The following is a 12,827-nucleotide window of genomic DNA, read 5'->3' on the forward strand; positions in this document are numbered from 1 at the left end:
ACATACATATACATATAATTTTTTTTTTGAGATGGAGTCTTGCTCTGTTGCCCAGGCTGGAGTGAAGTGGCTCAATCTCGGCTCACTGCAACCTCCACCTCCCGGGTTCAAGCAACTCTCCTGCCTCAGCCTCCCGAGTAGCTGGGATTACAGGCGCATGACCATGCCTGGCTAATTTTTTGTATTTTTAGTAGAGATGGGGTTTCACCATGTTGGCCAGGCTGGTCTTGAACTCCTGACCTTGTGATCTTCCCACCTCGGCTTTGCAAAGAGCTGGGATTACAGGCATGAGCCACCGCGCCTGGCCGCTAATAATTATATTTACCCAAGTTCTGCTTGAAGTATCTCCTTTCAATGTACATTTGTACAAATTCTTTTGTTCCATGGTAGGATCCCACCTCTTTATATGTCATCATTGACTATTATTACTTATTTTTTTAGGAGAGACTCCCCATATCCAGTATATGGACAGACATTGTGGTCACATTTTAATGGGCTTCTTTTCTTTGTCACTGTGCATGAGTCCCCCTCTGGCAAAGATTCAAGTAGGAGTGTCTGACCTTCTTTGGGGCTTCAAGCTTCTTTTTCCCTGCTGGTAACTGAGGTAGGTTCTTTACAGAAACATTTTCAAAACCATTCATGTCGACAACATATCTTTCATGCATATAGTCTGACAGGGCTATGCAAACAGACAGATCAAAACAGCACAAAACAGCTGGGAGCATGGCAGAGAAAAGGAATGTGTAACACGTGGCTTTGGAAAATTTTAGTAGGGGAGCAGCCCAGTGTGTATGAGATGCAGAGGGAGTTGTCAGTGATGGTGCACATAACCACCAGGAGATGAATGGCCGTGTAAGCTCATACTCATGGAGGATGGAGAGGCCTGTAGGGGAGCGCCTGGCAGGGGATCTGGGGATAGCAGGGCAGAACCATGCAGTGCCCTGGATGTGAGCAGATAAATCAAGTTAATACTTTACCAATAGCGTGAGGCTTCTTAAGTACAGATGTTATGTGGGGAAAACTGTCAAAACATCCTGAAATATATCCAGATTTGTGAGTGATTAGCTTGTGCAACTATTTTTTTCCAAGCCCGTATCTGCATGTTTAGTAGGAAGCAATATTTTAAACCAGTCTTCCACCACCCTCTGAAAGTGGGGCCAAAGCAATGCATGCTCTTAAGTGCAGGGAAGTCACATCAGCATCCCAGCAATGCCACCAAACCCTAAGGTAGATAATATTGAAAGCAATGGCAAAAACCGCAATTACGTTTGCACCAACCTAATACTTGAGTCTTAGAAATGGTTGGTTCTACCATCATAGTACAAATATCATAGGGGTTAATGGCCTTGCCAAAGAAGGTTGTGGGTTATCATCCAATGAAATCAGGCCATTTTCCACTCAAAATCTCATTTTCTATACTTGGCAAATCATACTCCCGTTAGTTTATTCTTACACCTCACATAATCATCAGAAGTTGAATGCATGTGAAATTGCGTGAAGCACAAATAATTTATTAAAAGAAACAGCTTAAACAGTCCTACTTAACTCCTGGTCAACGAATGCAGGAGGCACTGAAGTAAAGAAGGCTTGCTAAACAGACGAAGGTGAAATTGTGGTAATAAACTCTCTTTCAACTCCGTCTGGAGTTCATATTCCTCTTTGGCATTCCCTGAAGCTGAATGACTGAGGAACTTCCTTCCTCTACTTTTCATGTTTTCTTCTGAGGGCAAGTTGCACGCATAAGAAAACTTCAGTGTCAGCTACCGCGCTACATGGGAGGTCTCTGGGATTAACCTCCCCGACTCTTCTGAGACCAAACTGGGTAAACCAGCACGATCATTTGACCATGATGACAAAAGGACTCTACCCAGCCTCCTTGGCAACTCTCTTTGAATCAGTAAAGGTATCAGGAATGGTCAAGTCACTTATCCAGTATTATTCATCAACCATCTAATCATTTCTTGCAGAAATAGTAATTGAGAACCTACTGTGTACCAGGCATTCTTCTAGACATTGGGGATAGAGTGATTAGTAAAAGACACAAACTGCTGTCCTTGTCACACTTGATCTCATTATGTTCACATTCTAGTGAAGACAGACAATCAAGAAGAAAAATATTAAAAATAGGTAGTGCTAAGTGCCAATTAGAAAATAAAGCAGGGAAAGGGGACAGAGATATTGGGAAGCAAAAATTGCTGTTGAAAATGAGGTGGCTAGGGAGGGCCTCGCTGAGAAGGTGACATTTCCAGAAGCCCTTGGGGAAGGGAGGGAATCAGTATGCCAGTATCTGGGGGAAGAACCTAGCAGAAGAGGAAACAGAGCAAAGGCCCGAGGTAGGAGCCTGCCTGTGGTGCCCTCCTGGAGGAAGGGACCATGCCATTCTGCTGGAGCACAGTCGTGAGGGGAAACTGAAGTCTTTGAGCAGAACGTAGTGATATAATTTATGTTTGAACAGTGTCAGTCCATTGCTTTAATGAGAATGGACTAAATTGGTGGCAAGGTAAGAGTGGGAGAGGACTGGGAGGGTCAGCGGATAGGGAGGGAAAGGCAGGAAGAAGCAGAGGACCAATTAAGAGGTAAGAATTCCGAGAGAGAGGATGGTGACTCTGCTGAGCCTGGGAGGGGTCCCCTACAGGTGGAAGTGGCTGCATTCTGTATACACACACTGAAGGTATAGCCTGAGGATCAGATGTGTGATGTGAACCAAAAGAGTTCAGAATAATGATAAGCTTTTTCGTGAGCTATTTATTTCTGCTTCCCTGTTCCGGGAACTGACACCTCTAGTTCAGCATTGTTAACCCTGAATTGTAATGGTTTATGTAGCTGTCTTTTCCACCGTACTATGAGGTCATTTTCAGGGATTTTGTCCTGTTCCTATTAATTTCTCTCTCATTGTGCGCACACAGTGTAAGGAAACAGGCCCTCAATTAATTTTTATTAAATTAAAAGGCCTTATGGATATCAGAAAGTAAAACCTGCATATACAAATGTGTCTGCAGACTCAAAGTCTAAAACAGATGAATTTAGGCTTAAAGTAAGTCAGAGAATCACTTGGAACTTCAATAAAGAATGAAAATATAATGTGAGCCATTACAGTTCTTCAGACTGTTAATGCTGAAAGACTGCCATGTAATACCTCTGGTATACGGCAGAGGTTAACCGGTTAATCTCTATATATTTTAATTATTTGAATTTCTCTAAAAAATCTCTTTACCCCATGTAATTGGATAATTTCATAACATCAGAATAATAATGCATTAATAATTTCTTCCAGGAATTAGATTATCTCCAGAAGCAAAGGAAATGTAAAGAAATGGACAGGTTACTTTCAGGATTAATTCCAGGTAAGTTACAACAGAATTAAGGCTTAAGAAAGCCCTCTATTGCACAGACCATCTTGCTTTTAAAAAACACACAAAACAAACAAGCAAATCACTAAAAGCATAGTCAAGATGATACATTGAAAAAAGAATTCACTAATGTGATTTCTGTGTCTGCAATTCAGAACTTCCTCCTTCTGACTTATTCTCTCTAGGCTGAGGGCAGAGGCATTTTTGGGGGAGAATAAAGTGGTGGACTAATTTTGAAAGTCTAATCATGGCAAATATTAGAAATTACTGGTAGAATTGTTGTTAAGATTCACTAAGGAAAATATCAGTGAAAGTGTTCTGTAACCGTTAAGTGCCAATTATTATCAGACAAATATAATTATGGGTTCAAAAATCACTAAGAGTGTATCTTGTATGTTGACTTTAATAAGAATGGCAGAACACTTTCATCAAGAGATCCTTTCCTTTTGGATTACCAGCTGTGTCCTTTATTGATATGGAATAGCTGAAAGATAGGTAACAGAATTATCCACTGAGGATATGCAGAATTATTTAACAGTCTCTTTCTTTTCACCACCTACTTTGAAAGGAAAAACTGTATGGGCTGGAATATATTTCTTCATCAGAAAGTTCCAGTATAAACACATCACAAACTGATGTTTTCTTTTCTTCTTTCATCATGAAAAGTCAACATACTTAGTTGTATTTGACCAACTTGTCAAGCTTCCTGTTATTAAGCAGTAATAGAAAAAAAGTAAAAGGAACGCAGAACATAAGACATTAATGTACTGAACAATGCATATATTCCTTATTCTCTTTGCCCATTGCAGTGGCCTCATTAATCGCACTCCTGTGGACTCTCTTGGGCCCATCAATGCTTTTCTGGGCTGAGCCACAAAGAACCCAGCCATGTGACTGGTGCTTGGGCAGCAGCCAAAATCCTTCCTGGCCCTGGCACATGGGTGAGCCCCAGGCATCAATCAAGCCCTGTTGCTATCTCATTTGGCACTCCGCTTTCCAAGGACAATTTCATCCTGGGGACAAGGCTGGGTCAGGCATAGGAATCCCAGCTCTTCTGTTTTTCCCTTCTGGGTAGAATACAAGATGTACCAGTTCAGAGCGCGAAGGACAGTGTGGGACAGCAGGCTGAGGGTGGCACAGAGAATGGTACATGTATCTTCTGTGCGCCAGATGATTCAGCTTCACTGCAATTCTATGCTTGAGTTCTTTAGTACAGAATCCCTAAACTTCCATCACAGATTTAATTTTTTGAATTATTTGTATGCATGTAGTCTAACACGTATCTGTTTGTTTTGGATGATCACATAACAGCAATAATCCACCTTTAATTGTTCTACTTAATGCTCTCATCTTTAGGCAAATGGATTAAAAAATGTTTCTCTATATAATTATTCTTAAAAATTATTCTTATAAAGATCTTGAAAATGATACCCAGAGGAGAAACAACCTATAATTGGAAAAGCGTTATTATTCATACAAGTAATTCACTGTTTAAGAATACTCATTCACAAAAGGCATTACCAAAAAAATTTACAAGTCCAAAAACTTGGGGAAAACAAGGGAGGATTTGAGGGTGTGGCTGAGTGTAACTCTCTCCTTTTTCTCCTGGGGGCAGCTGATCTTTCCGTTTGCTAATTCACTAAGGAGAGGCTAAGCACCAGTATTTTCCATCTTCATCACCTGCAGGTTGATCCATCATTTGTTATTCTTATTACAAAAGGGCATATATAAAATTCAACTTAGTAAAATAATTTGGCATTTGTTATAAGACTATTTCCTTGTCTATGCCTTAGAAGATCCTGGAACACATGAGAGATTTGTCAACTCGTTCAACTAACATCGATCAAGCTCCTACAAGACACCAGGCCACGTATCGGGGATAGAAAATAGAAAGACAAAATCTCTGTCCTAAATATACTAGGATAATAGGATAAGGGGAATGGGAGAAAATTAAGGAGCCAATTTTCCCGCAATACAGTTATTGCTACGATAGGGATTTGCAAAGCTGTCCTATGGGAACATACGGAGAGACACCTCACCTGGATTCCGAAGGTGACAGAGAGGGTGGGAAGAGTGCAGAGAGGAATTCTAGGAGTACGTGACACTTGTTCTAATTCTTAGCATATGAGTAGTGATTAGCTAGCTTGAGAATAGGTGGGATAGGGGCCTAAATTCTAACATAATGCATGTTTGTGGGCCTGGAGGGTACAAAGGGCACAGAACTGCAAATACTTTGTTATGTCTGGACCAAGACAGGAGGCTGGGAAGGCAGGCTGGGATTCAATCCAGAGAAACAAATAAGAATGGAGTCTCATGCCCATGAGTCTAGTAACCAACCCCAGTGAGAGGACCCACTTGATCACTCAACTCGGCACCCAATTTCTAGTCAGAGTGACTGGGTACAAAACAGAGGTCACGTGCATGCTGCCAGAGATTACCACCATGTTCACCAGTTCCAGAACGAACCAGCTACAAAAGACAAAATTGTTACTATTTGATGAAGAAACGGAAAATTTTCACAGAACGTGGTGTTCTCTATTTGGCTATCACAGGGTATCTGGTGAAACGTTTCTTGCTAGAAAAAGATATAAACATAACCACAGGCTGAGAAACAGGCCCCTGGGTCAGACTATGGGCCCCTGGGTCAGACTATGAGCCACTGAGGCAGGGGGGGTTCTATCTCTGAGAAAAGGGAACCAGCATGATTTTGTGTGACAGTATGACAGTGTCCCATCGTTAGTTTCAGGGTTATATTCAGCTATTAAGGATCTGGTTCCATTTTTTTAAGTTCACATAGTGATTTACGTTTTCAACGAGACTAACTTAAAGTTCCATAAATAATTAAAACATATATAGTCTAACACACAAACCTTTCTTCATATATCATAGACTACTTTGTCCATAAGGATATTTCTTTTCTTTTCTTTTTTTTTTGAGACAGGGTCTTGCTCTGTTTCCCAGGCTATAGTACAGTTGTGCAATCCTAGCTCACTGCAGCCACCACCTCCCACACTCAGGTGATTCTCCCACCTCAACCTCCCGAGTAGCCACAACACCTGGCTAATTTTTTGTATTTTTTTAGTAGAGATGGGGCTACACCATGTTGGCCAGGCTGATCTCAAACACCTGGCCTCAAGTGATCCACCTGCCTCAGCCTCCCAGAGTGCTGGGATTATAGGCATGAGCCATTGCACCTGGCCTATTTCTCGTCTTAAAGAATTTTTATTGAGATATAATGGAAATATACCAAATTTGCATATTTATTGTTTAATTTGATTAATTTTGACATACGTATTCCCCATGAACCATCATCATGATCAAAATGGCAAACATTTCCATCACCCCTAAAATTTCCTTATGTTCCTTTGTGATCCATCCCTCCCCTCCATCCTCTTCTCTAGGAAACCAGTGATCTACTTTCCGTCACTATAGATTAGATTGCATTTTCTAGGATGTTACAGAAATGGAATCACACAGTATGTGCTCTTTTTTGCTTGGCGTCCCTTACTCAAAAGCTCTCTCTCTAATCGTCAAAAATTCTTCCCTTCTGGCTGAGGTTTGGTAACGAGTATCAGAAAATTCCAGGACGGTGTTTACCAAAGTGGGGCCAGAGGACCATCTGCCTCAGAGTCTTCTAGGTACTGGCTAAAATTGGCTGATTCACCTCTTCCAGAACTCTTACATCCGAATGACTGCTCTGTTCAAATAGGAGAGCTAACAGTTTTAACCTAACCTCTTAGGGAACAACTATTTCTATCTCTTGGTTCAAATTGCTGCTTTTCTTTCATGCCTTTCTACTTTTTTCTATAACCTGAGCAATTTTTAGTTCTTTTTGTTACAGCAGCACACTGAACTGAATGTCTTTAAGACACAACCAGTAATAATTTTCCAAGACCTCTTGGTACCATATATTTAAAAGTGTGGTTTGGATTACTTTTCCATAAAAAGCACATGCATTGCTAACTTTCTTCCCTTAGTTACTTTGCTATCTATTTATAAAGTCTGCCATTAGGGCCAGTACTTGAGTGAAGAAAATGAAGCACTTCTTCAAGTGCAAAATGTAAGAGGGTACCAAAAAAACTTCAGTGATCCAGATAATACTTAAAAAAAAAAAAAAATTCAGGCTGGGCATGGTAGCTCATGCCTGTAATCCCAGCACTTTGGGAAGCCAAGGCGGGCAGATCACAAGGTCAGCAGTTCGAGACCACCCTGGCCAACATAGTGAAACCCCAGCTCTACTAAAAATACAAAAAATTAGCTGGGTGTGGTGGTGGGCACCTGTAATCCTAGCTACTTGGGAGGCTGAGGCAGGAGAATCACTTGAACCTGGGAGACGTAGGTTGCAGCAAGCCAAGATCGCGCCACTGCACACCAGCCTGGGCAATAGTGAGAGACTCTTTCTCAAAAAAAAAAAAAAAAAAAAAAAAAATTCAAATTAAGGCAAAAAAATCCATGGTGGACAAAGTATCAAAATTTTAAATAAAGTCAGCATGAGTAACAGTGCCATATTGTGTCTGAGGCAGAAGGGAAAAAAAAACCAAAATAGCAATTGTGATCCTGTCTTTTTAAGATTATTATTATTTACATTTTATGCCCAAAGCGAGTGACTCCCTCAGTATGCCCTAGTCCTGGCCCTGGTCCACCTCCTGGTCCACTTGAAGTTTCACTGTGCAACGGGCTGCTTGCCATCCTAACATCATCATTACAATGTTATTTCTGGCCCAGGCTTTAGAATGTGCTATGAACATTAAGAGCTAACTCAAAATGCTGTATCTAGACACACTCACTGATCCTTACTTTTTTGCTTGCCGTAAAACACAAGCACAACCAATCCCAGGCAAAGATACAAACACCAGTCACTACAGTCCTGAATTTTTTAAAGGGCCTCAACTGTGCATTGAGAATGGGGTGTGTTCATTCGTGTCTGATTACAGGTAACTTCAACATGAAACTAGACATACAGAAACCATAGCTCTGATTAATGTTATCATTTAAAACATGTACTTTACTTCTCATAGGAACCAACAACATTTGAGAAAAATCAGTGTCTAAGAATAAACTAGATAATAAATGGGTTCTAACTGGACTCAAAATAAGCCCAGAAATTGCTGGGGATAAGGGCAAGTACAGTGGTTCTGAATGTTTTTGTTAAATGATTTGGGGAAAACATGCCAAGATTCCCATTCACTCTCAGAAGGTTTGCTTGGATGTATCATTTTTACTGAAAGCAAAAGGACTCATGCTCCGCTACTTAATGGATGCATATAAAGAATTAAGTTATTTGTTGTGGAATAAAGAATTTAAGAGGAACACTGGAATATCAGAGCTCGTAATAGATGGTGAGTGCTGGTCTTCAGGGTCTACACAGTACTGTGTAAGATTCAGAATGTACCAGGAGGAAATTTCAAGTAATTTTGTCATCCATCATCATCACAAACTACAACAGCATGGTGGATGGGGAAGATATGGGCTTTGGAGTCAGACAGATTCAAGAGGAAAGTCCAGCTGCACTCTGTCCTGGCTGTCTGACCTTGGCCCTTTTTTGTGCCTGTTTCTCCAACCGTGAAATGAGCCTATTTTGCAGGCTCACCACAAGAGTGAAGCAGGACAGGACACATGCAGCACGTAGCACAGGCCTGGTGCCTGGGGCACCCTGATTAAACTGTAGTTGTTATCACTGTCAGCAACATAGGCTTTATTCAGTGTCTGAAGGTTCTCTGACCTGCAGACAGATCAATGAAGGAAATTTTATAGGGGAAAAAAAAAACAATAAAATCTGCAATTATTTACCTATGTGTGACTAGACAAAAGGGACTGATATGGTTTGGCTGTGTCCCCACCCAAATCTCGAATCGTAGCTCCCGTGATTCTCACATGTCGTGATGTCGTGGGAGGGACCCAGTGGGAGGTAACTGAATCTTGAGAGCAGGTCTTTCTCATGCTATTCTCATGACAGTGAATAAGTATCATGAGATCTGGTGGTTTCATAAAGGGCAGTTCCCCTGCACATGCTCTCTCTCTTGCCTGCCACCATGTAAGATGTGACTTTGCTCCTCCTTTGCCTTCTGCCATGATTGTCAGGCCTCCCCAGCCACACGGAACTGTGAGTCCATTAAACCTCTTTTTCTTTATAAATTACCTAGTCTCAAATATGTCTTTATTACCAGTGTAAGAACAGACTAATACAGGGACTGAAGGGCCAGATTCCTGATAAAGGCAGAGCCCATCCTGTTTGCCTATATTTTCAGTGCTAAGTCCTTAAATGTGGACATTTCATTTTTATAAGAGCTCCAGGAGACAACTCTTGAGTTGAGCGACATCCCTTTAAGAAGAGGCGCTTTCCTTGCCAAAAAAGAGCAGCTGATCAAAGTCATGGTTACTATGTATGGTTTTGTTCCTGACATTTTAAAAGATCCAGAAAAGAGCTTCAAAAGTTCATCCAAAAGTGGATATAAAGTAGGTGGTGGAAAAAAGGCCATAAGAGAGCTGGAGTTATTCACCCCAGAGAAGAGAGGGTTGACAGATTTCAAAGTGCAGAGCGTTACAACACTCATGCTACTCTGTTTCCTTCATCTCCATGGAATAGAAGGGCTCCTATCAATACTTTTTTTTGGATAGATGGATGATTTCCCTTCCTGAAGACATGGGGTCAACCAGATGACCTTTTGAAATCTCTTCTAGTTCCAATCTTTGCACAAATCCAAAAGAGCAAATAGAAATCCAGCTCACCAATGTAGGGTCCCAGTAGGTTGAGGTAGCTTGGCACAGTGGAAAGAGTGAGAGCCAGGAGTCAGGCAGAGTGGCTTTGAATCTGCCTCTGAGACTCACTTGTTGGGCAAATTTATGGTAGTAAAAGAACTCAACCTTTTACTCAATGGTAGCACCAAGATCATCTCTGCCTCCTACAGTTCCTGAAAGGATTAACTAATGTTGGCAAAGCACCTAATGTGTTGACTGGCACACAGTAGGCTTTTGAAAAATTGGAGCTTTTATTCTAATTGGCAAAAGAATGGGTAGAATAGTTCCATTTAAATCATAAGAGAGCAATAACACTGTGGTTATACCACATCAGGAACATTGCAAATTCAAGTTGGCCAACTGCCTACCACTGACAACTCCTCATCCCACAGAATCCTCTCTGCAAACTAGAGCTTGTCCATGCCAAAGAATGTTTGAGGGGCAACTTATTAACTACCTTTTGCTATGAAGCAGAGGAAACCGAAGGCAAGGTCTAAAACATGTTGGTTTAAATCTGGCTTCTCTCACTGTCACCACAAGAATCAAATTAATTATTTTAAAAAGGTTTCGAATACATTTTCAAGAATAGGGAATGTATTTCACATGCCTCAAAGTTTATGTCTTGAGTACATCCCACTGAACTGTAATTCTCACTAAGTACAGTAAAAATGTCAGTCACAAAACAGGTTTGCAAACCAAACAAGTTTTGCAAAAACAAAAAAGGTTTGTAAAAGCTATAATTATGATTCCTCTCCTTCACAAATGATATAAAGGTAAAACTTGAAGTCATTAAGAAATTAAACAGCTCTCTCAGAGCCGGGAAATGTACTGGTTAGGGACCTATAGTGAATTAAAAAACTCCTACTTCTCTCAGTTTTTTCCATAAAAATGTAACTTTTTGGCATTACGTCAATGTGATATTACATATTTAGCATTTACAGAAAGATGCTGGAGTGCAAGAGAGAGGAGCTCTGGTTTTTATTCTTTAACTAGAGGTGGGGTCTGTGTCAGGACGCCTGGAGGCTGTGAGGAATTGGAAAAGGCAGAGGAAATACAAGGTACAAACATGCACACAAAGCAAGGCCCTAAGGAGAACGTGGCCAGAAACACAGGAGTGTTCCTGAAGCCCCTCAATGTTGCTCAGAGAATCAAACTTGGCTTGGGGGAGCACTTCCTGTTTCTATCAAAGGGATAATGGGTTACAGTTGACAGAACCAAATGTTACAGACAAGGGAGCAGAACAATGCACTTTGAACCGATGGAGTCACAGGAAAGAGCAGCTTATTTTTGTTGGGAGGGAACACACACGCAGGTATGGCATGTTGTATTGTAAAATGACTCCAGCTATGTCAGAGAGCTGGACGGGGCCCAGTGTGGATCTATGAAGGCCATCGTGCCATTAAATAAATGCTATGCAGGAATCTCACAAGATAATGAAGCAGCCCTTTTATTACCACCACACCAGCTTTACGCTGAGGGGTCATGTTAAATTTCGTTGTTTGAAATGAATACATTTCATTGTTGTTGTTTTCTCTTTTTTTTTCTGTTATTTTTTCACAGGTATTGACAAATGCATAAATTTCTAGTGGCAACAAACCACTGAGCTGTTGAAATAGTCTCTAGATTCTAAACCCAAATATTTCCATTAACTCATCATCAGGCTCATCATTTTCATGACACTGTTTTAGAAGTGGGGATATAAAAAAGTCCTTTGAAATCTACTGTATTTATCCTTACACTGCCTAAAGTCATCAAATCAAGCTTCCTCAAAACCATAGGTGTTACAAACCTGACTGCCCAGCAGTTACAAGCAGGTTCATTTATAATTGTTATTTTTACATGTAGAACAATTGGACAAAAGAAAAAAGCAAAATGGCACCTAAGATAACAATCAACAACATTATAGAAAGAAAAAAAATCCAGGAAATTCAAGGAAAAGAAAACTATCTATGATGTAGGATACTAAGTTCAAAAGTCCTTGTTACCAAGGGGACATTAAAATCGTGTTTTGCTTCCATAACTCTCTGAGTCCCCTTGAAAGAAAGTGGTCTAAGTCACAGATTCTTTCAGTGTGTGAAATAATTCCTGGGAATAGGGCAAACTCTTTCAGCAGTTTATTCATTATTTTAGGCCACTTAGATAAATGACAATAAAAGTCCGTTCAAAGAGCTACTGGCTTGTAGAAATAGAAGAATCTTCAGAAATGCTTATCTCAATACCAAGGAGTAATTCACGTGCTTGGAGTACCTAACTAATAAAATCCTGTAAGGTGATATGATGTTTGATGTTAAGAAGAGACAACAAGGCCATGATATCTACGTTCTACACTGAAAATGAAATGTGTTCATTTATAATTAAGTGGTAAAAAAAAAGTCTCCATTAATACAGAATTTAACAGCTATAACCCATTCATTGAGAGAGACGTTAAGTTATGGTGGCAAGGAGAGGTTGCTAAATATTTTAAGGCACTTTGACCATGTTCCTACCCATATTAATGTCCTTCTAGAGGAGTTTTCCCATTACTAGATTTTTTTCTCCTTTTTAAAAAAATAAACGTTAGTGTTTCTGTTCATTTTGGAAATATGTCTTGCGAAGGACTTTGGAGATATTTTTCTTTCTTTTTAAAAATGACCTTCTAATAAAAATAATAGACTTTTCAGATAACACAAAATCCAAAGCAAATAACATTAGACTCTGCCAATATGGTCATGAAAAGACCAAACAGTCTTTCTGAAGTAG

At 40.3% G+C, this 12,827-nt stretch overlaps 1 protein-coding gene and 1 long non-coding RNA gene across 56 annotated transcripts in view; one reads left to right on the top strand and one right to left on the bottom strand.

Moving 5' to 3' along the window:
- Positions 1-12,827, bottom strand: part of RHOBTB1 (Rho related BTB domain containing 1) — a 141,108-nt gene that overhangs the window by 36,837 nt on the left and 91,444 nt on the right. For 5 of the 55 annotated variants that reach the window (NM_001350907.2, NM_001350908.2, NM_001350906.2 and 2 more), the window contains one exon: positions 978-1,034. The exons of the other annotated variants lie outside the window; for them this stretch is intronic. The gene's annotated coding sequence lies outside the window, so the exon portion shown is untranslated. The remainder of the gene's footprint in view (positions 1-977; positions 1,035-12,827) is intronic. 55 annotated transcript variants of the gene reach the window in all.
- On the top strand, positions 1,819-4,232 carry LOC124902432 (uncharacterized). Its single transcript, XR_007062152.1, has 3 exons — positions 1,819-1,903; positions 3,275-3,344; positions 4,160-4,232. It is a non-coding gene; the product is annotated as an uncharacterized LOC124902432 (long non-coding RNA).

This window comes from Homo sapiens, chromosome 10 (assembly GCF_000001405.40).
Source record: "Homo sapiens chromosome 10, GRCh38.p14 Primary Assembly".
In the NCBI taxonomy this organism is placed as follows: domain Eukaryota; kingdom Metazoa; phylum Chordata; class Mammalia; order Primates; family Hominidae; genus Homo; species Homo sapiens.